General features: G+C 38.2%; 1 protein-coding gene and 1 pseudogene across 14 annotated transcripts in view; both read left to right on the top strand.

Moving 5' to 3' along the window:
- UGGT2 (UDP-glucose glycoprotein glucosyltransferase 2) overlaps positions 1-21,649 on the top strand; it is a 251,822-nt gene extending 230,173 nt beyond the window's left edge. For 11 of the 14 annotated variants that reach the window (XM_017020662.2, XM_011521096.2, XM_011521095.2 and 8 more), the window contains one exon: positions 7,125-7,976. In XM_017020662.2, the coding sequence (XP_016876151.1) occupies positions 7,125-7,288 (164 nt within the window). In that variant the 3' untranslated portion in view covers positions 7,289-7,976. Of the gene's footprint in view, positions 1-7,124; positions 7,977-21,416 lie in introns of those variants that run through there. The other 3 variants (XM_047430471.1, NM_020121.4, XM_011521097.2) reach the window with 1 other exon arrangement.
- HMGN1P24 (high mobility group nucleosome binding domain 1 pseudogene 24) lies at positions 13,490-14,111 on the top strand (annotated as a pseudogene).

Here is a 27,601-nt window from a genome sequence, read left to right as displayed (position 1 = left end):
AGCACATGGAACATTCTCCAACATAGGCCACAAAACAAGTCTCAATAAATTTAAGAAAGTCGAGATCATATCAAGTATCTTCTCAGACAACAGTGGAATAAAATTAGAAATCAGCTCCCAAAGGAACTGTAAACACTATACAAATACATGGAAATTAAATAATCTGCTCCTGAATGATTTGGGGATTAATAATGAAATCAAGATGGAAATTCAAAGATTCTTTGAAATGAATGGTAATAGTGACACAAGTTATCAAAACCTCTGGAATACAACAAAAGCAGTGCTAAGAGGAAAAGTCATAGCATCAAATGCCTACATCAGAAAGTCTGAAAGAGCACAAATAGACAACCTCAAGGAACTAGAGAAACAGGAACAAACTAAACCCAAAGCCATTGAAAGAAAAGAAATCACAAAGATCAGAGCAGAACTAAATGAAATTGAAACAAACAAAAAAGAACAATGAAACAAGAAGCTGGTTCTTTGAAAAGATAAACAAAATTGATAGATCATTAGTGAGACTAACCAAAAAGAGAGAAAATCCAAATAAGCTCAATTCGAAATGAAACCGGAGACATCACAAACAATACTGCAGAAATACAAAAGATCATTCGAGACCACTATGAACACCTTTACATGTACGAACTATTAGCATAGTACTGGAAGTCCTAGCCAGAGCAATTAGGCAAGCAAAAGAAATAAAGGACATAACAAAGTGGAAAAGAGGAAGTCAAACTAGTGCTGTTCACCAGTGATATGACCATCTACCTAGAAAACCCTAAAGACTTATCCAAAAAAATCCTAGTTCTGATAAACTAATTCAATAAAGTCTCAGGCTACAAAGTCACTGCACACAAATCAGTAGCACTGCTATACACGAAGGATGACCAAGCTAAGACACAAATCAAGAAGTCAATCCCTTTTATAACAGCTGCAAAGAAAAGAAAATACCTGGGCATATACCTAACCAAGGAGGTAAAAGATCCCTACAAGGAAAACTGCTGAAAGAAATCATCATAGATGACACAAATGAAAACACATGCTGTGGAAATAATCAATATTGTGAAAATGACCATACTGCCCAATGCAACCTACAGATTCAATGCAATTCCCATCCAAATACCCTATCATTTTTCACAGAACTAGGAAAAACAATCCTAAAATTCATATGGAACCAAAAAAAGAGCCTGAATAGCTAAAGCAATCCTAAACAAAAAGAACAAATCTGGAAGCATCACATCACTAGATTTCAAATTCTACTACAAGGCTATAGTTAGCAAAACAGTGTGATGCTTGTATAAAAATAGGCATGTAGACCAATGGAACAGCAGGGAGAACACAGAAATGAAGCCAAATACTTACAGCCAACTGTTGTTTGACAAAGCATTAAAAAACATAAACTGGGGAAAGGTCACCCTATTCAATAAATGATGCTGGGAAAACTTGCAAGCCACATATAGAAGAATGAAACCACATCCCCATTTCTCACCTTATACAAAAATTAACTCAAGATGGCTCAAAGACTTAAATCTGTAACCATAAACATTTTAGACAATAACACTGGAAAAACTCTTCTGGACATTGGCGTAGGCAAAGAATTCATGACCAAGACTCCAAAAGCAAATGGAACAAAAATAAGTAAATGGGACCTAATTAAAAAGCTTCTGCATGGCAAAAGAAATAATCATCAGACTAAACCTACAACCCACAGAATGGGAGAAAATATTTGTGAACTATGCATCTAACAAAGGACTAGTATCCAGAATCTACAAAAAACTCAAATTAGCAAGAAAAAAATAATCCCATCAAACGTGGGCAAAGGACATGAATAGAAATTTGTCAAAAGAAGACGCACAAATGGCCAACAAACATGAAAAAATGCCCAACATTACTATTCAGCAGGGAAATACAAGTTAAAACCACAATGAGATACCACCTTACTCCTGCAAGAATGGCCATGAAGAAAAAGTCAGAAATGAGTAGATGTTGGCATGGATGTGGTGAAAAGGGAACACTTTTACCCTACTGTTGGGACTGTATATTAGTGCAGCCTCTATGGAAAACAGTATGGAGACTCTTTAAAGAACTAAAAGTAGATCTACCATTCAATACAGAAATCCCGCTGCTAGGTATCTCCCCACCGGAAAAGAAGTTATTGTATGAGAAAGACACATGCACACACGTTTGTAGCAGCACATTTCACAATTGCAAAGAACCAACTTAAATGCCTTAACCAATGAGTAGATAAAGAAAACATGGTATATATATCCCCTGGACTAAAAGGAATGAAAATACTAGTAAGGAACAAAATAATGTATTTTATAGCAACTGGGTGGCCATTATTCTAAGTGAAGTAATTCCGGAATGGAAAGTCAAATACCGTATGTTCTCATTTATAAGTGAGAGCTAAACTGTGAGGACACAAAGATGTACAGTGATATAATGGACTTTGGGGACTTGAGGCAGAAGGAGGGAAAAGGGAGTGAGGGATAAAAGACTGCATATTAGATACAATGTACACTACTCAGGTGACGGGTACACTAAAATCTGAGAATTCACCGCTATGGAATTCATCCAAGTAACCGAAAACCACTTGCACCCCAAAAGCTATTGAAATAAAAATTTTAAAAAAGAATAAACTTCACTTGGTCATGACCTATTATTCTTATATGTGCTGGTAGTCTTGTCTCTAATGTCTAAATATTTTTGCCTCAATATTCATAGATGAAAACTGTAGAGCTCTTTTGTGCAATTTTTTCAGGTTTTAATATTTATTTTTCTATTGTTACCAAAGTTACCACCACTTCATAAAAAGAATTAGGAGCTTTGTATTCCTTTTTTGTGCTCTGGAACAGTTTACATAGCAGTGGGACATGGGGCTTTTTAGGGGAGTAGACTGCTTTGTCTGCTTCTTCTGTGGAAATTAATCTGTTCAGGCTTTATATAGCTTCTGGAGTCAGTTTTGGCAAATTATGTTTTCCAAGAAAAAGATTTATATTGGATATATTCTATAGTGTCATAAAAAGTATCCCCTTTAAAAAAAAGTCTTTGTTTCTTGTTTATTTTATTTATTTATTTTTTGAGACAGTTTCACTCTGTCACACAGGCTGGAATACAGTGGTGCAGTCTCAGCTCAAACTCTGCCTCCGAGGTTCAAGTGATTCTTGTGCCTCAGCCTTCCGACTAGGTGAGATTATAAGTGTGTGCCACCATGCCTGGCTAATTTTTGTATTTTTAGTAGAGATGAGGTTTTGCCATGTAGGTCAAGCTGGTCTTAAACTCCTGGCCTCAAGTGATCTGCCCACCTTGGCCTCCCAAAGTGCTGGGATTACAGGCATGGGCCACCACATCCGGCCTATTTCGTTCCTTATTTTGTACATTCATGCTTTCTCTTATTTTTCTCCTGTTTTTCTACATTGTGTTAGCTCAGTTTTAGTTGATTCTACCCCTTTGACCTAAGAGTTGTATAATGAAGACTGATGTTTTCCTATGTGAAAGAGCCTTTATGTTTTCTGATTTTGTTATTTCTATTGTTATTGTATTGAGATCAAATAATATTGTCTGTATTATTTCTTCCTTTTACAATCTATTGTTGTTTTCTTTGTGGCCTAATACCAGTTTTTATGAATGTTTCATGAGTTCTTAAAGAGAAGATGCATTCTCTTTACCGAAGTATAGATACATACATACATATATACATATATACTATTACATACATACATATGTATACATGTATATGTGTGTGTGTGTATATATAAGGTCTATTTTATTCATTATGCTTTTAGGGCTTCCATAAGCTTATTTATTTTGGTGGTGAGCAGTGACTAAATCAAAGATAGATGTAAGGATAACAATGGTATATAAATAAATGTTAGACAGTCTAATAAGGCAGGAATAATACAACAACAAAAAATAGAAAGGGAGAAAAAGTAGAAGAATAAACTTGCTTACTACTCTATTTGTAATAACTGGCAGTCAAGTGATGTTGAAAGTTGACAAATGTAATAGAAGCTTAAACATATTCAAGAGTATAATAAAGGGAAACACCAAGAAAGGTAATATATTATCAATATTTAAAAACTTTTTAGCTCATCTTGGAATCTTAAGTTATAATTGTCATCTACTTTGTGTGATTTTGGGGTAAGTTTTCATTAACTGTATGAATGTTAGCCTATTTTTTATTTCTCATAGTATTTTGAATGAATTTTTGAATGAAAGAGTTTCCTAGACTTGGAGCACAGGAGGATCCTAGGGAAGGTAATATATAATGGGTCATGGTTGTTTCAGCTTTGTAGTTTAGTGTTTTCTCTACTGCTGCTGTGGGAAAGGCCTAGAGGTAACTCTTCCATGTGTCCGCAGCTCTGGCTCTCAAGTCCTAGCCTGGTTGAGAAAGGCTTCTTCCTGCAGGTCTCTGTTTCATAAATCCCTCCTCTTGCCATCCCAGGTGACGCCACTATAGCTGGTATTTTGTGAGATCTTCCCCCTCTGTACCCACAGCCTGAGCCTTGATTAGCTTTCTCTCTCTGCCTCCCCAGTAATCAGTCCTGCCCTGTTCAAGCTACATCACACTCACAGGCACTTCCTCTCAGTAACAGGCTCTTGCTCTTCTGGAAGATGCTAGAGACTTCTCAGCACCTGTCAGACCACCTTTCCCTTAACATGTTTCTCTTCCATAGTACCTTTGCAACTTCCCATCCAGTTCTGCTGTACAACTCTGTTTTCAGCAGTACTTAACCACAATTTTGAGTTTGCAGGTTTTCTGTTTCTTAGTTTTGCTGAAATGTTGTTTGTGGATTTTGTTTTGTTTTCTTCTTGTTGTTATATATTATTAACAACAAGAAAGAGGGACAATTCACAAATAAGCTGCCGCCATGTTGTTCTGGAAACAGATGTCAATGCAAAGATTTTCTTTTCTTTTTTGAGACAGGGTCTCACACTGCCTCCCAGGCTTGCATGTAGTGCATAGTCATGGCTCATTGCATCCTCGATCTCCTGGGCTCAAGCAATTTTCCAGCCTCAGCCTCCTGAGTAGCTGGGACTACAGGCGTGCACCATTGCTCCCAGCTAATTTATTATTGTTGTTTTCAGTAGAGACGAGGGCTCACTGCATTGCCCGGGGCTGTTCTGGAACTCCCTGGCTCAAGCCATCCTCCCGCCTTGGCCTCCCAAAACGTTGGGATAATAGGCATGAGTGCCTGGCCAGGGTATTTTTGGTGCTATGCATTTTTCTCCCAGGTTCTGATTCTGATAAATACTAGACTTTTATTATAATTTTTATAATATAGTTTGGATTTAATTTTTTATTTGGTTCAAAGAGAAGTTGTTGTTTTCATTTTAATTTCCTATAGTAGTGGGTTTTCTCCTAATTTTGGTATCAATTTCTAGTTTAATTTCATGATGGGCAATGAATGTCATCTGTAATATTGCTCCCTCTTAGAATTTAAGTTTTTCATCATGGCTTTTTTCTTTAATGAAGCTTCTAATGTTATAATCTTTGCTATTTTTTAGAATTTGCTTTTAGAATTTTTAGAATTTTTTTGAATTTGCTTTTGCATGTCTTCAGCCTTTTATTTTCAACATTCGTAAGTTTTAGGTATATATTTTTTATACTTACATTGTGGTTTTTTTCCTTCCAATGTTTTTGTGTTTTAGAGACAGGCTGCCACTCTGTTGCCCAAGCTGGAATGCAGTGGCAATCATAGCTCACTGCAGCCTCAAACTCCTGGGCTCAAGCAATCCTGCCACTCAGCCTCCCAAGTATCTGGGACCACAGGCATGTGCCACCATGCCCAGCTAATTTTGTTTCTCCTGTAGGGACAGGGTCTTGCTATGTTGTCCAGGCTGGTCTCCAACTCCTGGCCTGAAGCAATCTGCCTACCTTAGCCCCGCAAAGTGCTGGGATTACAGGCCTGAGGCACTGCACGTGATCTTTCCTTTTAATCTGAGTATAAATTTTTCTAACTTTTGAGTTGTTACCCTTATACTTACTGATTATACCAGAATGTTTATGATCTTATGTTACACTTTGATTTTTTGTTTTTATTAATCTTTACTGAGGTATAAGATTCACCAATTTTAAGCTTACAGTTTAGTGACTTTTTTTTGAGACAAAGTCTTGCTTTGCTATCCAGGCTGGAATGCAATGGTGTGATCTCAGCTCACTGCAACCTCCACCTCCCGGGTTCAAGCGATTCTTGTGTCTCAGCTTCTCAAAGTAGCTAGGATTACAAGCATGTGCCAACATGCCTGGATAATTTTTGTATTTTTAGTAGAGAGGGGGTTTCGCCATGTTGGCCAGGCTGGTCTTGAACTCCTGACCTCAAGTGATCCACCTGCCTCGGCCTCCCAAAGTGCTGGGATTACAGGCATGAGCCACTGTGCCCAGCCCAGTTTAGTGACTTTTTACTAATATATACAGTCATGTAACCACCATCACAATCAAGATGTAGAACATTTTCCTTACCTCATGCAGCTCTGCAATTCACCTTTGTGGCAGAACCTTCCTTTCCACACCCAACTCTTACAATCACTAAGCTGCTTTCTGTTGTAACAGTTGTGCCTTTCCTCCAGTGCCATACATTGAATAAGTATATATTCTTTTGTTTGAATTCACAAAATTGAAACCAAAGACTTATCATGTTGTTGAATATATCAGTAGATTATTCCTTTTTATTCTTGAATGCTATTCCATTGTATAGATATACTATTCTATGCTTATCCTTTCTATTTGATGAACCTTTGGGTTATTTCCAGTTTGGGGCTATTATTAGTCTTAGTCTGGACCATATGTTTTCATTTCTCTTCTGTAAATACCTAGTAGTATGGGGGTGTTGGGTCATATGGAAAGCTTGTATTTAACCTAAGAGGCTGAGAAGCTGTTTTCCAAAGTGGTTGTAACATTCTAACTAACAACATATGAGAGTTCCAATTGCTGTACTTCCTCACTAACATTTGATATCACTCTCTTAATTTAATGGATGCATAGTGATATATTGTTGTAGTTTCAGTTTACATTTCCCTACAGACTAATTATAATATTAGTTCGTTCTTACACTGCCATTAAGAAATACCTGAGACTGGGTAATTTATAAAGAAAAGAGGTTTAATTGGCTCATGTGGTTCCACAGGCTCTACAAGAAGCATGGCAGCATCTGCTTCTGGGGAAGCCTCAAGGAGCTTTTATTCATGGTGGAAGGCAAAGCAGGAGCAGGTGTCTTACATTGGAGGAACAGGACCACGAGAGAGAAGGGGAAGGTGCCACACACTTTTAAACAACCAGATCTCACACTAACTCACTCACTATCACAAGAAGAGCACCGAGGGAATGCTGCTAACCCATTCATGAGGACTCTGCCCCCGTGGTCCAGTTACCTCCTACCAGGGAATTATACCCTCCCACCTCCAACACTGGGGATGAGATTTGGTGAGGACACAGATCCAAACCATATCGTTGTGCTTATTGGCCATCTGTATATTATAAGTTTTTTTGCAAAGTGCCTATTCAAGATTTTTGCTCTTTTTTAAGTTTTGGATTTTGAATTTCTTTGGAAAACAAAAAAGCCCACTGAGATTTTGATTGCAACTCTTGTTTTAAATCAGTTTGGTGAAGATTAATGTGTTGATTATGTTGAGCTTCCAATTCATAAATACGATATGTTTCTTGATTTATTTTGGTCTTTAATTACTCCTAGCAGAGTTTTAGTTTGCAGTGTACATATTTTACTAAGAATTTTATAACTGAATGCTAATATAAATGGTATTTTTAAATTTCTTGTTGGTTGCTAATACATAGAAATACAATTAATTTTTGTATATTGGACTTATGTCCTGTGGCTTTGCTATACTCACTTATTAGTTCTAGTAGAGTTCTTAGGAATTTTTTCATAATGGGTCCTGTTATAGTTGTAGAGTTCACAGGATTGTCTTCACAGTGGATCATATCTTCAGCAAATAAAAATAGTTTTACTTTTTCCTTTCCAGTCTTCATAGTAATGTGTTTTATTTATTTTTCTTGTTGTGCTGGACTGGCAAGGGCCTCTGGGTTGAGAACAGATACCCTTCCATGCCTGTTTTTCATCTTAGTGAGAAGGCATTTAGTTTTAGACCATTATGGATGATGTTAGCTTTGGGTCTTCATAGATGTCCTTTATCAGGCTGTAAAAGTTTCCTTTTATTCCTAGTTTACTGGGAGTTTTAATCATAAATTGATACTTGAGTATGTCAAATGCTTTTTCAATATCTGTTGAGATGATCATATGGCTTTTCTCTTGTAGTTAATATATAAATTATACTGATTGACATTACAGTGTTTAATCAACCTTGTATTTCTGAGATAAAGTCTACTTGGCTATGATGGAGGATCCTTTTTATATATTGCTGGTTTTAATTTCCTGAAATTTTCTTAAAGATTTTTGCATCTGTGTTCATGGAGAATATTGTTCTATAATTTTCTTAATGCCTTTATCTGGTGTTAATGTCAAAGTAATGCTTGTCTAATAGAATGAGTTGAAGTCAAAGGAGATTGCCTCAGATGAGACTTTGGACTTTGGAGTTTTGAGTTAATGCTGGAATGAGTTAAGACTTTAGGAGACTATTGGGAAGGCATGATTGTATTTTATAATGTGAGAAGGACATGAGATCTGAGGCAAATCCCTTCGCCTATGAGCCTGTAAAATAAAAAACAAGTTAGTTATTTCCAAGATACAAAGGAGATGTAAGCATTGGATAAACATTCCTCTTCCAAAAGGAAAAAATTGGCCAAAAGAAAGGGGCTACAGGCCCACACAGGTCCAAAACCCAGCAGGGCAGTCATTAAATCATAAAGCTCCGAAATAATCTCCTTTGACTCCATGTCCCACATCCAAGTACACTGATATGAAGGGTGGGCTCCCAAAGCCTTGAGCAGTTCCACCCCTGTGGCCTTGCCGTGTTCAACCCCCGAGGCTACTCTCACAGGCTAGAGTTGAGTGCCTACAGCTTTTCCACACTGAAGGTGCAAGCTGCCAGTGGATCTACTGTTTTGGGCTCTGGAGGACAGTGGCCCTCTTCTCATAGCTCTGCTAGGCAGTACCCCAGTGGGGACTCTCTGTGGGGGGTACAATCCCACTTTTTCACTCCATACTTCCCTAGTAGAGGTTCTCTCTAAGACTCTACCCTTGCAGCAGGCTTCTGCCTAGATACCCAGACTTTTTTTAATACATTCTCTGAAATCTAGACGATGGCTGCCAAGCCTCATTCACTCTTGCACTCTGCATGCCTACAGGCTTAACACCACATGCCAGCCACTGAGGCTAATGGCTTGCACCCTCTGAAGTAGCAGTCTGAGCTATATCTGGGGCTCCTTTAGCCGATGCTGGAGCCAGAGTGGTCAGAATGAGGAAAACAGTGTCTTGAGGCTGTGCAGGGCAGCAGGACCCTGGGCCTGGACCATGAAACCATTCTTCCCTTCTAGGTCTCTGGGCCTGTAATGGGAAGGGCTGCTGCAAAGGTCTCTGAAATGCTTTTGAGGACTTTTTCTCATTGTCTTGGATGTTAGCTCTTGGCTCACTTTTGGTTATGCGAATATCTCTAGCAAGTGGTTGCTCCACAGCTTGCTTGGATTCTTCCTTTGAAAACAAGCTTTTATTTTCTACATGGCCAGGCTGCAAATTTTCCACTTTTACACCCTGCTTCCCTTTTAAAAGTTCCAACTTTAAATCATTTCTTTACTCCCACATCTGAGCATAGCTTGCTAGAAACAGCCAGGACACATATTAAATACTTTACTGCTTAGAAATTTCTTCTACCAGATACCCTAAATCATCGCTTTGAAGTCAAACTTCCACAGATCCCTAGGGCACAAACAGAATGCAGCCAAGTTCTTTGTTAAAGCATAACATGTATGACTTTGCTCCAGTTCCCAGCCAGTTCCTCATTTCCATCTGAGAGCTCACTTCACTGTCCATATCACTATCAGCATTTTGGTCACGACCATTAACCAATCTCTGAGATGTTCCAAACTTTCCTTTATCTTCCTGTTTTCTTTTGAGCCCTCCAAACTCTTCCAGCCTCTGCTATTACCCAATTCCAAAGTTGTGTCCACGTTTTCAGGTATCTTTATAGCAGTGTCCCACTCCTTGGTACCAATTTTCTGTATTAGGCCATTCTTGCACTGCCATAAAAAAATACCTGAGACTGGGTGATTTATAAAGAGATTTATGGTTCATGGTTCTCAGGCTGTACAAGCATGGTGCCAACATCACTTGGGTTCTGGGGAGATATAATTCACATACTATACAATTCACCGATCAAAATGTATAGTTCAATCACTTTTAGGGTATTCACGGAGTTGTGCATCCATCACGGCAATCAGCTTTAGAACATTTTCACTACCTCATAAATGGGGGAGGCCTCAGGGAGCTTTTACTGGTAGCGAAGGTGAAGTGGGAGCAGGCATATCACATGGTGAAAGCAGGAGCAAGATGAGAGAGAGTAAGGTGGGTACAGTATACCACACACTTTTAAACAACCAGATCTTATGAGAACTCACTATCACAAAGACAGCACCAAGCCATGAAGGACTGCCACCAAGAGCCAAACCACCTCCCACCAAGCCCCCACCTCCAGCATTGGGAACTACAACTCAATTCAATATGAGATATAGATGGGGACAAAAATTCAAACTATACATTTAGCCTGTAATCTCTCATTCTGGAGACTGCATTATCTGATGTTTATATAGACCCTCAAGCTTTTGTGTTTTTAATGTTTGCATAGTGTATTTTTTATCCTTTTACTTAAAATCTGTTAGTATATAAGGGTGGGTTTCTTGCAGAGAGCATATAGTTGGGTCTTTTTATCCAATCTTAAAGACTGCTTGTCACTGTAGTATTTATACAAGGGTGGGCCAATTTATACAAGGGTGTTCTGTGGGTAAATCTGCTTTTATACAGCTCCTAAGAATTGTTTTTACATTTTTAAATGGTTGGAAAAAATCAAAAGAGTAATAACTTGTGGTACATGAAAATTATATCCAAATTTCTAGTTTTTCTAAAATTTCATTGGAACATAGATTTGCTCATTCATTCATGTATTATCTGTGGCTATTTTGTGCTTGCAGTGGCAGTTGCATAGTTTTGGTGGAGATTACACAGTCCACAACTAAAAATATTTATTATCTGTCTTTTTACAGTAAAAGTTTGCTAACCTTTCATTTAAAGCATTACATTTATTGTAATTATGGATATGATTGGATTTAAAGAAGCCATTTCCTATTTTTCTGTTTGATTTGTGCTCCCTATGCCTTTTTTCCTTCTTTTTCTGCCTTGTTTTGGGTTTTTTTCTTCAAATTCCGTTTTATCTCCAGTATTATTTTATTAGCCATACTCCCTTTATTTTTTAATGAAGTTTCTCTACAGTTTAGAATATATGTCTCTAACACACTATAGTCAGCCTTAAATTATATTACTTTGTTTCATATATAGTGTAGGAACCTTGCAACCTTATACTTCTGTTTTTTCCTCTTTTCTCTTATGCTATTGTTATAATGCATTTTACTATTATATATTATTAATCCCATATTACATTGTTTCTATTTGCATTTTAAACAATTATCTACCGCTTTGTTATATAATTCACATACTTTACAATTCACTAATTCAAAGTGTATAGTTCAATGGCTTTTAGTATATTCATAGAGTTGTGCATCCATCACAGCAATCAAAATTAGAACATATTCACTACCTCATAAAGAAATCCTGTCCTCTTTAGCTCACGCCCTAATTTCCCTATCTCCCTGACCCTGAACAACTGATCTATAAAGTACTACGAATCTACTTCTGTCTCCACAGATTTGCCTAGAGATTTCACATGGATAGGATTGTCCAGTGTCATAATTAGTAACTGGCTTATTTCACTTAGCATTATGCTGTTAAAATATATTCCTATGAATATTTATATACAGGTTTTAAGTGGATATTATGTTTTCATTTTCCTTGGGTTTATACTTAGTGAAATCACTGGGTCATATGGTAACTCTATGTTTAACCACTTGAGGAACTGTCAGACTGTTTTCCAAAACCACTGGCTGTATTTTACATTTCCACCAGAGGTATATGAGGATTCTAATCTCCCTACATCCTTGTCAATACTTATTATGTCTTTTTGATTAAAAATATCATAGTGGCTGAGAAGTAGTATCTCACTGTGGTTTTGATTTGCATTTCCCTGATGGCAAATGATGTTCACCATCTTATTGTGTGCTTATTGGCAGTCTGTATATCTTTTTTAGAGAAATATCTATTGAGATCCTTTGCCCATTTTTGAATTGTGTTTTCTTTTTGTTGTGTATTTGTAAGAGTTCTTTGTATATTTTACATACAAGTACCTTACCAGGTGTAATTTATAAAATTTTTTCCCATCTTTGGTTGTCTTTTCATTTTCTTGATGATGTCCTCTGTGGTACAAATGTTTATATTTTTGATACTCAGGTTTTTTTGTCTTTCCTTGCTTGTGTTTTTGGTACTATAGCTAAGAAACTACATTTGACCCTTTAACAACACAGGTTTGAACCGCACAGGTCCACCTATCTGTAGATTTTTTTCAACAAACATATTGGAAAAATTTTTGGATATTTGCAACAATTTGAAAAAACTTGCAGAAGAACCATGTAGCCTAGAAATATTGAAAAGACTAAAAAGCTAGGTATGTCATGAATGCATAAAACATATGTAGATACTAGTGTGTTTTATTATTTACTGTATAAAATATCCACAAGTCTATTATTAAAAGTTAAAATTGATAAATGTATGCACACAAACACAGACCATACATGGCATCATAGGCAGTTGAGAAATATAAACAAACATAAAATTAACTGTAGTATATACTATGCTACTGTAATAATATCGTAGCCACCTCCTGTTGCTGTTGGAGTGAGCTCAAGTGGTGTATCTGCTTAAAACACTAATCATCTCCACATGAGCAGTTCATACCGTGTTTAGTGCAATACCATAAAACTTGAATAATACCATGGGACCCAAATGAAGTCATGGATTATCACTGGTGATGCCGGAAGTGCTCCCAAGAAGCAGAGAAGAAAGCCATGATATTACAAAAAAAAGTCGAATTGCTTGATATGTACAACAGATTGAGGTCGTCACATGTGGTTATCCATTTCAAGATAAATGTATCCAGCGTAAGGACCATTGAAAAAAGAAATGAAAATTTTGTGAAGTTGTCACTGCAGCTGTGTCAGCAGCACCAAAACTTTATAATTCTTGCAAAATACCTATTTATCTCATATTAAAAATGCAGCTTTTATGTGGGTGCAGGATTACTATAAGAAAGGCTTACCTGTAGACTAATATAATTCAAGAAAAAGAAAAGTCATTATGTGACAACTTAAAGCAAAAGTAAGGTGCAGGATCTAAAACTGGAGAATTTAATGCCAGCAAAGGATGGTTTGATAATTTTAGAATGAGGTTTGGTTTTTAAAAGTCAAGATAATAGGAGAAGCAGCTCCTGCCAACCAAGAGGCAGCAGCCAGGCAGCCCAGCTTTGCTAAGGGTCTCTCTCAGTGTGCTGAGGCTGCGGAAAGGCTGCAGCCTGCAGGCACTTGGCACACACCCTCCCTGCTGCTAGGATGCCAAGAGGAAGGTCAGCTCCACCGAAGGGACAGCGAAGGAGTAGCTCATGAGAGGAGATCTGCACACTTGTCAGCTAAACCTGCCCCTGCGAAAGTGGAAACTAAGCCAGAAAAGGCAGCAGAAAAGGGTAAATCTCCAGACAGAACGTGCAAACAAAAGGGAAAGGAGGAGCAAAGGGAAAATGGGCTGAAGTGGCTAATCAAGAAAGTAAAGAAGATTTGCCTGCAGAAAATGGAGAAACAAAAACCGTGGAGAGTTCAGCCTCCAATGAAGCTAGAGAGAAAGAAGCCAAGTCTGATTAATATCCTATACCATGTCTTATCAGTGGTTCCTGTCTCCCTTCTTGTACAATTCAGAGGAATATTTTTATCAACTATTTTGTAAATGCAAGTTTTTTAGTAGCTCTAGAAACATTTTGAAGAAGGAAGGAATCCCACCTCATCCCATTTTTTAAGTGTAAATGCTTTTTTTAAAAAGAGCTAAATCATTCACCAGTTTATTTTTGGGTACAACCAGAAAATAGTGTGAGATATTGAATTATAGGAGGCTTTGACTATCTTAGGTGTCAGGTTAACATTCCATAGATGGGGGGTTAGTTTTTATATCCTATAATACAAAGCATACTAAACAGCAATATGGAGTCACGGTCCTGTACTGAATGTCTTAAACATCTTAAATTACTTCTGTTCCCTTGTTGTTTTTTAGTAGAATTGTTTCCTAAAGAAAACCACTCCATATTCGTGGATTTCCCTGTCTGAATTGTGTGCACTCTGTAACATATTTAGTTGTGATAGTCCTGTTTTCCAATAACTTTGTGAATGTGCTGTGAATGAAAATTTGAGTATGTAGTGTACATGCTATTCAGTTATGAATTGGTAGGACGTATTTAACAGCTTATCAACATGTGAAGATATTGGTACGTGATAGCCTCTTAAGGAAATTTTGCCTCCGGATATTAAGCTGGAAAGTCACTAGAGTAACTTCACAAAGAATTTGCAATACATGGCTTTTTAGATTTTTGGTACATATGTGAAGAATTGTGTACAAATTGAAATGTCTGTGTGCTGATCCTCGACCCAACCAATAAAATCTCAATTATGAAAGAAAAAAAAAAGAAAATCACTGAGGAGAAAGGATTATTTGCCTCAACAGGTTTTTAATGAAGATGAAATTTCCCTGTTTGTAGAAAAAAAAATGCCACAAAGGACATTTATTTGTAAGGAAGAGAAATGAAAACCAGGATTTGCAGGAAGAGATAGGCTATCTCTATTATTTTATACAAATGCAGTTGGTCTTAAGATCAGTAATATTCTTATCTATAAAGCTGCTAACCCCCAAGCCTTGAAGATAAAGATAAATACCAGCTGCCAGTCTTTTGGTTGTACAACAGAATGTCTGGGCAACAAGAACCCTTTCTCTGCATTGGTTCCATCAATGCTTTTGTCCCTGAGATCAGGAAGTATGTTGCCTGTAAGGGACTGCCTTTTAAAGTTCTTTTGATATTGGGCAATGCTCTCTGGCCACCCAGAACTCCATGAGTTCAACACTGGAGGTGTCTATCGGCCCCCAAACTCAACATCTGTAATTCAGCCTCTAGATCAGGGTGTCATAAGGACCTTTAAGCCTTGTTACACAAAGTACTCTTTGGAAAAGATTGTCAGTGCCGTGGAAGAGAACCCTGATAGAACATGAAAGTCTGGAAGGATGATAATATTGAAAATACCATCATTGTTATAGAAAAAGCCATGAAAGTTATCAAGCCCCAAGCAATACATTCCTGCTGGAGAAAACTGCCCAGATGTTGTGCATGACTTCACAGGATTTACGACAAAGCTAACCAAGGAAATCATGAAAGAGATTGTGAATACGGCAAAAAAAAAAAAAAAAAAAGGTGAGGGCTGAGGGTTTCAAGATACGGATTTCTAGAAGAAATTAAAGAGCTAGAAGACACCACACCAGAAGAATTAACAGAAGATGACTTGATGGAGATGAGTGCTTCTGAACCAGTGCCAGACAATGAGGAAGAAGACATAGAAGCAGTGCCGGAAAACAAATTGACATTAGACAATTGGCAGAAGAGTTCCAATTATTAAAGACTGCTTTTGCTTTTTATGACATGGATCCCTCTATGATATGGAGACTGAAACTAAAGCAAACAGCAGAAGAAGGATTTTAGAGAAATAACAAAAAAATTAGACAGAAATTACAAGGTATTTCTGTGAAGTTACACTGAGTGTGCCTGCCTCTGCTGCCTCCCCTTCTACCTCCTCCACCTCTTCCACTTCTGCCACCTGAGACAGCAAGACCAAACTAACAACTCCTCTTCCTTAGCCTACGGAATGTGAAGACAATGAGGATGAAGACCTTTCTGATGACCCACTTGCACTTAATGAATAGTAAGGTATATTTTCTCTTATGATTTTCTTAACATTTTCTCTAGCTTCCTTTATTGTAAGAATACAGTATATAATACATATACAAAATATATTAACTGTTTATGTTATCTCTAAGGCTTCCAGTCAACAGTAGGCTATTAGTAAAGTTTTTAAAGAGTCAAAAGTTATATGTGGATTTTCAACTGTGCAGGGGTTTAGTGTCCCTAACCCCCATGTTATTCAGGGGTCAACTGTATTGCCCAATCCAATTCACAAAGATTTCCATGTATGTTTTCTTCTAAGAGCGCTATAGTTTTAGGTCTTATACTTAGATTTTTAAATCTATCTTTAATTTTTAAATATGATATGAAGTAGGAGTCCAACTTCATTCTTTGGCATATGGCTATCTAGTTGTCCCAGAACAATTTGTTAGAGAGACTGTCATTTCCCCATTGAATGGTCTGAACACCCTTGTCAGAATCATTTGATCATATATGCAAGGATTTATTTCTGGGCTCTCTATTCCTTTAGTCTATATGTCTCTTCTTATTCCAGTACCATACTGTTTTAATTACTGTAGCTTTGTAGTAAGTTTTGAAATCAGTGAGTCCAATTTTTTTTCTTTTTAAAATTGTTTTGGCTATTAAGGTCCCTCAAGATTTCATATGAATTTTAGGTTTTTCTGTTTCTGCAAAAAGTGTCATTGGGGTTTTGATAGGGATTGCATCAGATATGTAGATCACTTTGAGTAGTACTGCCGTCTGATGTTCTTTCTTCCTGACAACAAATATGTAATGTTTTTCTAACACCAATTCTCCAATTCACTGGACACCAACTGGATCTCCAGTAATTCATTTCAACTCTGACATTAACTCCTGGAGTTAACCTTCAGACCCCACAGATTAAGGGCCCAGCCTGCAGGACTGCCCCACTTCAGATATCAACCATAAATCTGATGCCCAGGCTACCCATATTCCTGCCTGACCAGCTACATACAGCTCCCTAAGCTACAAAGTTGGGTTGCTGAATTGACATCTTTTTTCTTTTTTGATGTTAGTGTTTACAGCTATAAGTTTCCCTGATCACTTTTTTTTATTGCATCCCATAAATTTGTCTGCTTGTGTGTTTAATGACTCCTGTCTTTGTTTAGCCTTGGACTTTTTTTTTTTCCACTGTGTGTTTTTTTTTTTTTTTTAATAATCTCTTTCCCCCTTATCTCTGTTCTCTCTGTCCAAGATTCTAACTAGTTGGATTTTTATACCTCTTGGTTCAATCCTATACCATTTTTATGTATTTTTTCATTGTGGTTAAAAAAATCACGTAACAAGATTTACTGTTTTAACCATTTTTAAGTTCAGTAATGTTAAGTATATTCACATTGTTTTGAAATAGAACTCCAGAACTTTTTCATGTTGCAAATCTGAAACTCTATACTCATTAACAGTTCCCCTTCCCCCTCTCTCCCTGCCCCTGGCAAACATCATTCTACTCTGTGAATTTGACTACTCTAGATACTTTATATAAGTGGGATAATATAGTATTTATTTTTTTGTGACTGGCTGATTTCACTCAGCATAATATTGTCAAGATTTATTCATGTTGTAACATGTGACAGAATTTCCTTCCCTTTTAAAAGACTGGATAAAATCCCATTGTATATATATATTGCCACATTTTGTTTACCCATTCATCCATCGATGGACATTTGGTTTGCTTTCACCTTTTGGCTACTGTGAGTAATGCAGCTATGGACATGTGTGTGTATATCTCTTTGAGACCCCGCTTTCCATTATTTTGGATATGTATGTCCAGAAATAGGATTGCCAAATCATATGAATATTTAAGGAACCTCTATTTTTCATAGCAGTTGCATTATTTTACACTCCCATCAACAGTGCAAAAGAGTTCCAGTTTCTCCATATCCTCACCAACACTTCTTATTTTCTGGGTTTTTTTTTTTTATAGCAGTCATACTAATGGGTCTGAGGTAATAATTTCATTGTGGTTTTGTTATGCATTTCTCTAATGATTAGTGATATTGAGCATATTTTCTTATGTTTGCTGACTATTTGTATATCATCTTTGAAGAAATGTATATTCAAGTTCTTTGTCCATTTTTTAATCAGGTTATTTGATTTTTTGTTTTTGAGTTGCAGGGTTTCTTTATATATTGTAAATATTAATGGCTTATCAGATACATGATTTGCAGATATTTTCTCTTATTTGCTAGGTTACCTTTCCATTCTGTTGATGGTGTCATTTGATACACAAAGGTTTTTAGGTTTAATATAATCCCATCTATCTATTTTTACTTTTGTTATATTTTTGGTGTCATATGTAAGAAGTCATTGCCATGTCAGTGTCATGAAGATTTTTCCCTATGTGTTCCTCAGGAGTTTTATAATTTCAGGTCTTATATTTAGGTTTTTAATCCATTTTTAGTTAATTTTCATATGTCATGTAAGATAGGAGTTCAGCTTTATTCTTTTGTGTGTAGATATCCAGTTTGCCCAACTCCATTTATGAAAGAGACTGTTATTTTCCCACTGAGTATTCTTGGCATCCTTATCAAAGATGAATTGATCATATACACAAGAGTTTATTTCTGGGCTCTCTATTCCATTGGGCTATTTGTCTTTATGCCGGGACCATACTGTTTTCATTACTGAAGCTTTGTAATATGTTATAAAATCAGGAAATGTGAATCTGCCAACTTCATTCTTTTTCACAATATTTTCGGCATCCCTTGTGATTCTGTATGAATTTCAGAATGAGTTTTCCTGTTTCTATAAAAAGCATCATTGGGGTTTTTATAGGGATTTTGTTGAATCTGAATCTGTAGATTGCTTTGGGTAGTATAGACATCTTAATATTAAATTTCCAGCTCATGAATGTGGAATGTCTTTCCATTTATTTGTGTCTTCTTTCATTTCTCTCAGCAATTTTTTGTTATTTTCAGTATACACATGTATCACCTCCTAGATTAGGTTTATTCCTAATTATTTTGATCCTTTTGATGCTACTGTAAATAGAATTGTCTTCTTAGTCCTATAGATCTTTTGTACTTATATTTTCTCTTGTTTATCTTTTCCTTTCATTTGTGTTCTGAAAAAATTCTTTGACATTATCTTCAATCTTTCTATTCATTTATTTTAGAGGGGTAATCACTTCTTAATTTCTAACAGATCTTTCTTTTCCCTGCTTGCTTCTTTTTAATTTCATTTTGTTCTTGTTTTATGGTTTCGTGGATTTTTTCTAATATCCCCTGAAATACCAGTTAGAACTGTTTTGAATATTGCTTTAGTTCTTTTCAGTTCCTTTTTGTTTAAGCTGTCTTATGTATTCATCTTGGCCCTTTTTTCTTTTGTTACTGGTCTTCCTCAAAAACCTGGAGATCTTTGGCTGTTTGTATATATTTAACAATGAAATGTTAGATTGATCAATATAATAACTGGTGTGGGTTTCCTCTGCCAGGGTTTAAATGTGTTTCTCCGAGAGCCTTCCCCAAATGGGAGGGTTAATTACTAACTAACCCACGGTGTACAACTGGCAGGCTTCCTTCTAGGTGTATGGTCATGGAACAGATCAAAGCCCATCCTGTACACCACCCCAAAAGCCCAAATGAGGGCGCTTTACTCAAGAGCAGACACTCATATAAAAATACCCCTTTTCGGCCGGGCACGGTGAATCACACCTGTAATCCCAGCACTTTGGGAGGCCAAGGCGGGTGGATCACCTGAGGTCGGGAGTTCGAGACCAGCCTGACCAACATGGAGAAACTCCGTCTCTACTAAACATACAAAATTAGCCAGGCGTGGTGGCGCATGCCTGTAATCCCAGCTACTCAGGAGGCTGAGGCAGGAGAATTGCTTGAACCCGGGAGGCGGAGGTTGCGGTGAGCTGAGATCACGCCATTATACTCCAATCTGGGCAACAAGAGTGAAACTTCGTCTCCAAAAAAATAAATAAATAAACCAAAAACCTCTTTCCCCCTCTCTCCCACCCTTTATTTCTCCCTCTTTGTCTCTCTCAAAATTGTTCAATTTTCTTTCAAGAATAGACTTCCACTTTTTATCTTAGAATAGATACCAGGCTATCGGCTGGGCACAGTGGCTTACGCCTGTAATCCCAGCACTTTGGGAGGCCAAGACGGGCGGATCACGAGGTCAGGAGATCGAGACCATCCTGGCTAACACGGTGAAACCCCGTCTCTACTAAAAATACAAAAAAATTAGCCGGGCGTGGTGGCGGGCGCCTGTAGTCCCAGCTACTCGGGAGGCTGAGGCAGGAGAATGGTGTGAACCCAGGAGGCGGAGCTTGCAGTGAGCTGAGATCACACCACTGCACTCCAGCCTGGACGACTGAGTGAGACTCCGTCTCAAAAAACAAACAAACAAACAAACAAACAAACAAACAAAAAAGGATAGCTAATACCAGGCTGTCAGTTTCTCTTTTGGATTCAGAAGAATGAGAGTGGGGTGGGGAGCTGACAGGCACAGATTTTCCACGGACGGCCCTTTACTTGATAGCCTCACTGTGTGACTCACTGTCCACTGGCGTTTGTTATAGCCTCGTCCAGCCTCCTCCATCAGGAAAGCCAACTCATCGTTTCAGCGGTGTATCCTGGGATGAAGTTGTTTCGTGCAGTCTATCCCTGTTTCCCATTTCTTGAAATTCATTGGTAACTTTGCCCCAACAAGTGTCTTGTAACCACTTCCCTCGTTCTCATTATTGTTTTTCCTTTTTATATTTATTATCTTTCCAGTAGAATTTAGTGAAGAAATATAGTCTGCCATCTTGAATTGTGGAACAGCATGCATTTAAATTGTATTTTATTTAATTTCTGCCTGAAAATATTGAGTTCTCAGTGATTTACATCAGTTGGTATGTGACAGCTCAGTGATGCAGAAGAGACCATTTTGTTCTCTGAGAGTCTCATCAGAATTGTGCTTGCATTTATGTAGTACTTATGTCTATGTCAGAGTGCTGTGTCCTCCCATCTTAGATGACGACTATATATTAATATGTCCTCTGCTTTCTGTTGTTCCATTACATTAAGGGTAGAATACTGTATTCACAGTGAATAATCTGTTAGTATTCTTCAAGACCTCTTATCTGCCAGGCAGGATGCTAGATCCTAAAGATAACAAAGATAAGTAAGGTATGTTCCTTGTCCTCATAGACTCATGGGAGCTCACATTCTAGGTGGGTAGAAAGACCAGTAGTTATGAGACAATATAATAGACATCACAGTGTACAAAGAGCTATTCTCGTGTTGCGTAATGAAGCATATAGGTACTGAACTAGCAAATAAAGGATCCTCAGTCAGTACCGGTGCTTCCTCATCATATGTAAGTAATATTTAAGATATTTTTATGTTTAAGATGCCAGAAGCTAAATAAACTTTTCTCCCTTATAGTTTTGACACATGATGAACTCTAGCACTGGTGTATATGAGAAGGAAGGCGAAAGCATGACAGGAAACCTGCCGCCTGCTGGGGAAGTCTGGAGCCCCTGCTGAGACGATTTGGAAGTCTCGTTAAGATCAGTGACATATTCTTTAATTTTAAAAAATTGTAATTATTTAAAACAGTTATTTAATGTATTGAATGAGTTTAAGTTATATAATAAATGACCATTGAGTATTTAAAACCTGATTGTTCCTTTTTCCTGATCACCAGTTAAAGTTTGACATTTTGCCAGATAGCCCAGGTACCGGACTAGCTGGTGTTTATCAAACTATAGCCTTTTGTATCTGGTTTTATGTGCATCCACATTTCCTTATTCACAAAATGCATTTAAAATTACAGAAATGCATTTAGGCTGGGTGCAGTGGCTACACCTGTAATCCCAGCACTTTAGGAGGCCAAGACAGGTGGATCAGCTGAGTTCAGGAGTTTGAGACCACCCTGGCCAACATGGCAGAACCCCGTCTCTACGAAAAATACAAAAAATTAGCTGGGCGTGACGGTGGGCGCCTGTAATCCCAGCTACTTGGGAGCCTGAGGCAGGAGAATTGTTTGAACCCGGGAGGCAGGGGTTTCAGTGAGCCGATATTGCGCCCATTGCACTCAAGCCTGGGCGACAGAGTAAGACTGTCTCAAAAAATAATAACAATAATAATATTACAGAAATGCATTTAAAATTACAGAAACCTATTTTGTATTTTTCCTTCTGAGACAACAATAATTAATAATTAAGCCCATTTATTCCTTAACTATTGTTTTAAAATGGAAGTAATATTGTTGCATAGTAATCATTTATCTTAAACAATGTTTTAATCTTATGCGGTATTTGGATTTTTTAATGTTTCTAATTTTATGTCATAAAAAGCATTTATGGGCATGTGGGATATATGTGTATTCTCTTTTTAAAAGGACTAGGTACTTTTATGGGAACTAAGTTGAGGATGTAACCAGTTTGTTTTTCTGATGTGTATTAATAATAGATGAATAATAGTAAATGTTTAAAAACTATCCAACTATTCTAAAATCATAGGATCATGGGACTGGAAGAGAACTCAGTGCCATTTGGACCTCATCCTGTGGAGAGTCTGATTCATTAGGTCTAAAGTAAGCTTGGTAAATCATGATTGTTTAAAAAGCTCTCCAGATGGTTCTGTAATTAGACAAGTTTGAGAAGCATTTAATAGAATTGGGCCCCAGCCAGTGTGCCGGCCCCTCTTCTAAGGCCCTGCCTGTAAAGCTGAGCCTCAGGCCATCTTGGAAATTCCAGGACAACAGGGAACTCTCCACCTCTAGAGACAGGCTGGTCCATCTTTGGACAGCTCTGTACACACAGTTCCATCATGAGCCGAAGCTCACTCCTGTGAGCTTTTCAGAACAAGGCTAATCCTTCTGTGTTTGACAGAACAGCCCATAGAGTTAAAATACTACTCCTCCCATCAGCTCCATTCATTCCTAATAAGAGAGCGCCTGCCTCTCCCTCTTGCAGTCATCCTCCCTTTGTTACTTGTTCGTGTTTGTCTGTATTAAAATGGAGTGCACCATTTATGGCCTGCTCTGGTGGAACTAGGTTATTCCTGTGAGTTCAGAGTATCCTATAGGGTACACTCAGAGGCTGGAGCAGTAAATGGTCCTGGGGCGGCCAGCGTCATGGTGCTCTCCGGCTCACTCTTGGGAGTCAGCTGAAGCTGGGGATTGGTAAGAGGTGAGACTCTGTAAGGTTCTAGGTCAGGCCAGATGCTCCACCCAGCTACCCAGAGGTCTGCTGCGGTGGCTGGGGCACAAACCTCAACTATAAGATGGTACTTTGTTTTCCTTTGTTACCAGCCTGTCTTCACTTCTGTGAGAATCTTATAGAAAGGATGATCAGCTGGGCAGAGACACCGGATTCCTACTTTTATTACCTACAATGGCCTTCTCCAGTATTCTAGGTCCCATATTTTCATGGAGTATTAAGCTAAAATTACAGAACAATGTAAACACAGTCTTGATGGCCCCCCTCCCTGTTTGCATCTTGTGATCTGAGTGGCCAGTTTACATGTTACATTTCCAGGTGAGTGACACCTTATACCAGAAAATCCAGATTTATAAATAAGGTATTTCTTTACAGTGAGATGTTTTAATTAAATGGCTTGTTTTAAAAATGCTGTTATGTCAAGAGCTCTCATGCATACAAACTGCTGTGCCATACAAAAATGTACCCTCCTCAGGGACACATTACATAACTGAACCATAGGTCTTATTTGCTAACACTTGGAGAGAAAGCCATTCAGTTCCTTGTCCTGGAGATGCTGAACAAATATAGTCCAACGGCTTTCATGGTATATTCAGGATCCTAAATTCTGGTTCTCGGCTGCAGGCCCTATGTCAAGTTTTAACAAAAATCAAATCCTAGAAGTAGTGGAGGTCAGCGGAATGTGGGGGAACTAGTTTCTAACTATGGGAAGTGATAAATGTCTTCTCTTTCTGCCTTCTTAGAAAAAGTGTCAGAACAGTGTATCTAAACTAAGAATGAGAAGCATTTGTGTTTGACCCACAGTGATGTGTGAGCTTTATGTAGAAAGTAGACCCAGAATCTGAGCATTAAGACAATCCAAAGTCAGCATACCACCTCCAACACTTAGGTCCAAAAGATTGTATTTGGGAAATGCCTGTCATTTGGCTCCAGTTACCCTCAAGCTCCTAGAGAACAACATAGCTCCTAGAAGGATAGCATCAAATACTTCTAAAGGCACCTAAAGCCATGTCAGCCTGGGGTTATAAAATCAGGCTTTTAATATTAAACATGTAGTCTGACACAAGTGGGACCTGCCCACAGAACTGCTTGTTGCTGTGTGCCAGGTCCTGACTCCAGCACCTGAAAAGCAACCAGACAACAAATTGCCACTGCCCAGAAGAGGCTCCAGGGACCCAACAGAATACTTTCATGGGCAGGAGGTACGGGACAAGTCAGATGAACACGTGGATCATGTGTCTCAGATCCATAGTTACAGAGATGAAGTAAAAGGTGCTGATGGGCCCATGCTCAAACCAACAAGCAGAAGTTATGACCCAGCCATTGTCTCACTCACTTCTGTTACTTCATAGACTGAAGGGGCTCCACTCACTTCTAAAGAACCAGTTGATTGGTTAAAATCTCACCTTTGGTGGCAGAGTGAGGAAGAGGAAACATGATGGTCCAGGGCTTTGATGGCCAAAATTACAGGTAACTTTGTAAGTTAGAGGGGCTCGGTCAGGTGTGTAAGCCCATTCTAGAACCTCTCTTTTTTAAAGTCTTCAAGTGTTATCGTAATGTGACAGCTGTTCCCCATTTTCTATTTGTTAACCCCATTTACCAAATACAAACTTCTATTTTCTGAGAAATTCTCAGGTAAAGCCTCTTGACTTAGAACTAGTAACACCTCTGTTGTAAAGATCTCTGATTTGGAAAATAATCTTCTCCTCTACAGTTAATAATTACTTGAAGTGAAGAAGTTTACTTCAATCATGTGGATCTGCTCAACTATGTAAAGTTTGTATCCTACCTGATGTGATTTTACTTTAAAAAGGAAAGGTTTTTATTAGAATTGAAGAAAAATTATTCAGATTTTAAAGATGGGCTTCAAACCATTATTTGAATATGTTTAATTTAAAATTTTCAGGAAAAGGAGAGGAGGAATAATTATGGTACTACCTTTACTGGGTAAGATGAATGTTGAAATAAATAGAACTAATCCTGTAGTAGAGTGTCTAGTCTAGAGCATCAGATTGAAACTACTTTCCATACAAATGTCCTGCCACAGACCTCTGCCGTGTTTGTCTTCCTCACGCTGGTAGGTAGCTTTTCCTTTGTTTCCCCACGGTCTGCTTCCACCAGAAAACGATTTCTAAAAAGTTTCATCTAAATAAGGCCAGTAATATGGTAGGTCTCTCTGCCCTGAACAGATTGAACAAATATTTCAACAATTTAACAAATAATTTAGGTACCTACTGTGTGCCAAGCTGTCCTCTTAAGGTTACTAGACAGTATAAATGACAGACATTAATACCCAAATGAAAATGTTGTGAAGGGCAAGTGTCAAGACAGACCTAACAAGTAACATTTTAGGATGAAACCTGAAGTAAAAGTTCGTGCTAGCCAGGCAAGAAAGAATAGTATGGAAGGAGTTTTGTTCGTTTGAGGACTGAAAGAAGGCCCATGAGGTTGGAGCCTGGGTGACAAGGCAAGTGAGTTTATGAACCATGTGAAGAGCTTTTGTGATTTGATCCTCAAGCGCAGTGAAGGGCTAACATCCATTCATATAAATCCTAAACTGCTCGGTGAATATTTTTATGCCTGCATTGTTTCCTAATTCCTTATTCATAACAGCAGTACCAACTTTTTGGACAAAAGCTCTAGATTTGCTAATGCTGCTTTTTTTCATTGTTCAATGTCCATAATGAATTTCCTCTCATCTGAGGCCCTGTCCTACAGGGAGAGCCCTCCCCTCATTCCACAATTGCTTAATGTTTATGCATTCAGTAGGAGGAATAGATGCTATTTTGTTTGTACAAACATTAACCATAGAATGAAGTCTTTCCACTGTAACTTGAGATAACAAAGCCACAAACATTGCAGGAAACAAAATAGTGCAACCGGTGGTATATATGAAGTGACAGGGTATCTAAAATCCTAAGAAAACTTGACACAGTGAAATGTACGTAATTTGTTAAAAGAATTATCCTTTTTTTTTCTTTCTGAGATGGAGTCTCACTGTTGCCCAGGCTGGAGTGCAGTGGCACAATCTTGGCTCACTGCAACCTCCGCCACCCAGGTTCAAGCGATTCTCCTGCCTCAGCCTCCCAAGTAGCTGAGACTACAGGCGCCTGCCACCACGTCCGGCTAATTTTTTGTATTTTTAGTAGAGACAGGGTTTCATCATGTTGGCCAGGCTGGTCTTGAACTCCTGACCTCAGGTGATCCACCCAACTTGGCCTCCCAAAGTTCTGGGATCACAGGTGTGAGCCACTATGCCCAGCCCAAGATTCATCCTTTTAACAGATACTTTAGAGAGGATTTTTCCTTCTTATACTGGTTTCCCTAACTAGTTACTTGTAATTTTGCTCCTAAGTATGAAGATGCTTTATCTCTAAAGAATTATCCTTTTAACAGATAGTTTAGAGAAAAAGCATCTTCATACTTAGGAGCAAAACTGCATGTAGTTAGGGAAAACAGTGTAAGAAGGAAAAATCCTTTTTAACCGTACCTACAAATGGCACACTGTACTCAAAGATATACCTATACAAATCTCCTGTAATAACAAGGAAGTATATAAATACCAAGAAGACTTAAGAGCAGTTGAAATCCACTCAGAAATGCTGCAAGCAGTGGTTACTCCCTTATGCTTTTTACATATGTTCAATTCTGGTTTCCTCAGACCTTGGCACTAATGTTCCCAGTGGCCCTTCCAAGCCACGGCGGCCCAGTCCCTGGGAGTATCTGTCAGAGGGATGCTTATCCCAGTAGACTGAGTTGATCAGGAAAAACAGAACTGAGTGAAGGCTGGAAATGTGTTCAAAATAGGAATGCAAGCTGAGTTATCTCCTGTATGCTTCATTAGAAACAGAATCCTAGTATAAGGCAATAAATATGCATATTAAGCTTTTATCATAGAAGCATTCCCAAAGGATTTGCTCAGCATAAAAGGGTTTGCAGAGTTCAGGGTCTCTGAGGTGTGACCTGTAAGCTGGCATTAAGATTAAAATGATAATTTTTTTTTAAAGATAATGAAGCACTGATTTGGGCCTGGGGGTAGGGAGGGAGCGGGTTTGGTGCCTGCTCAATGAGAGCTCCTGAGGCTCTGGGAAGAGGACCTGGACCTCCCTTCTTCTTGCAGTTTCCCTACAGCCCTCATGCCTGCTCCACGTGTTCATGCTGTTTATCTTCAGACTCAGGCTGGCTGCTCATATATTGCTACAATATCATGACGATTAAGAATTTGGAAGCTTTGGCCGGGTGCAGTGGCTCACGCCTGTAATCCCAGCACTTTGGGAGGTCAAGGCAGGTGGATCACGAGGTCAGGAATTCAAGACCAGCCTGGCCAAGATGGTGAAACCCCATCTCTACTAAAAATACAAAAAAATTAGCCAGGTGTGGTGGTGGGCACCTATAATCCCAGCT

Source organism: Homo sapiens, chromosome 13 (assembly GCF_000001405.40).
Source record: "Homo sapiens chromosome 13, GRCh38.p14 Primary Assembly".
Classification (NCBI taxonomy): Eukaryota; Metazoa; Chordata; class Mammalia; order Primates; family Hominidae; genus Homo; species Homo sapiens.
Note: the sequence above shows the minus strand (reverse complement) of the source record. Positions and strands in the feature narration are given on the sequence as shown.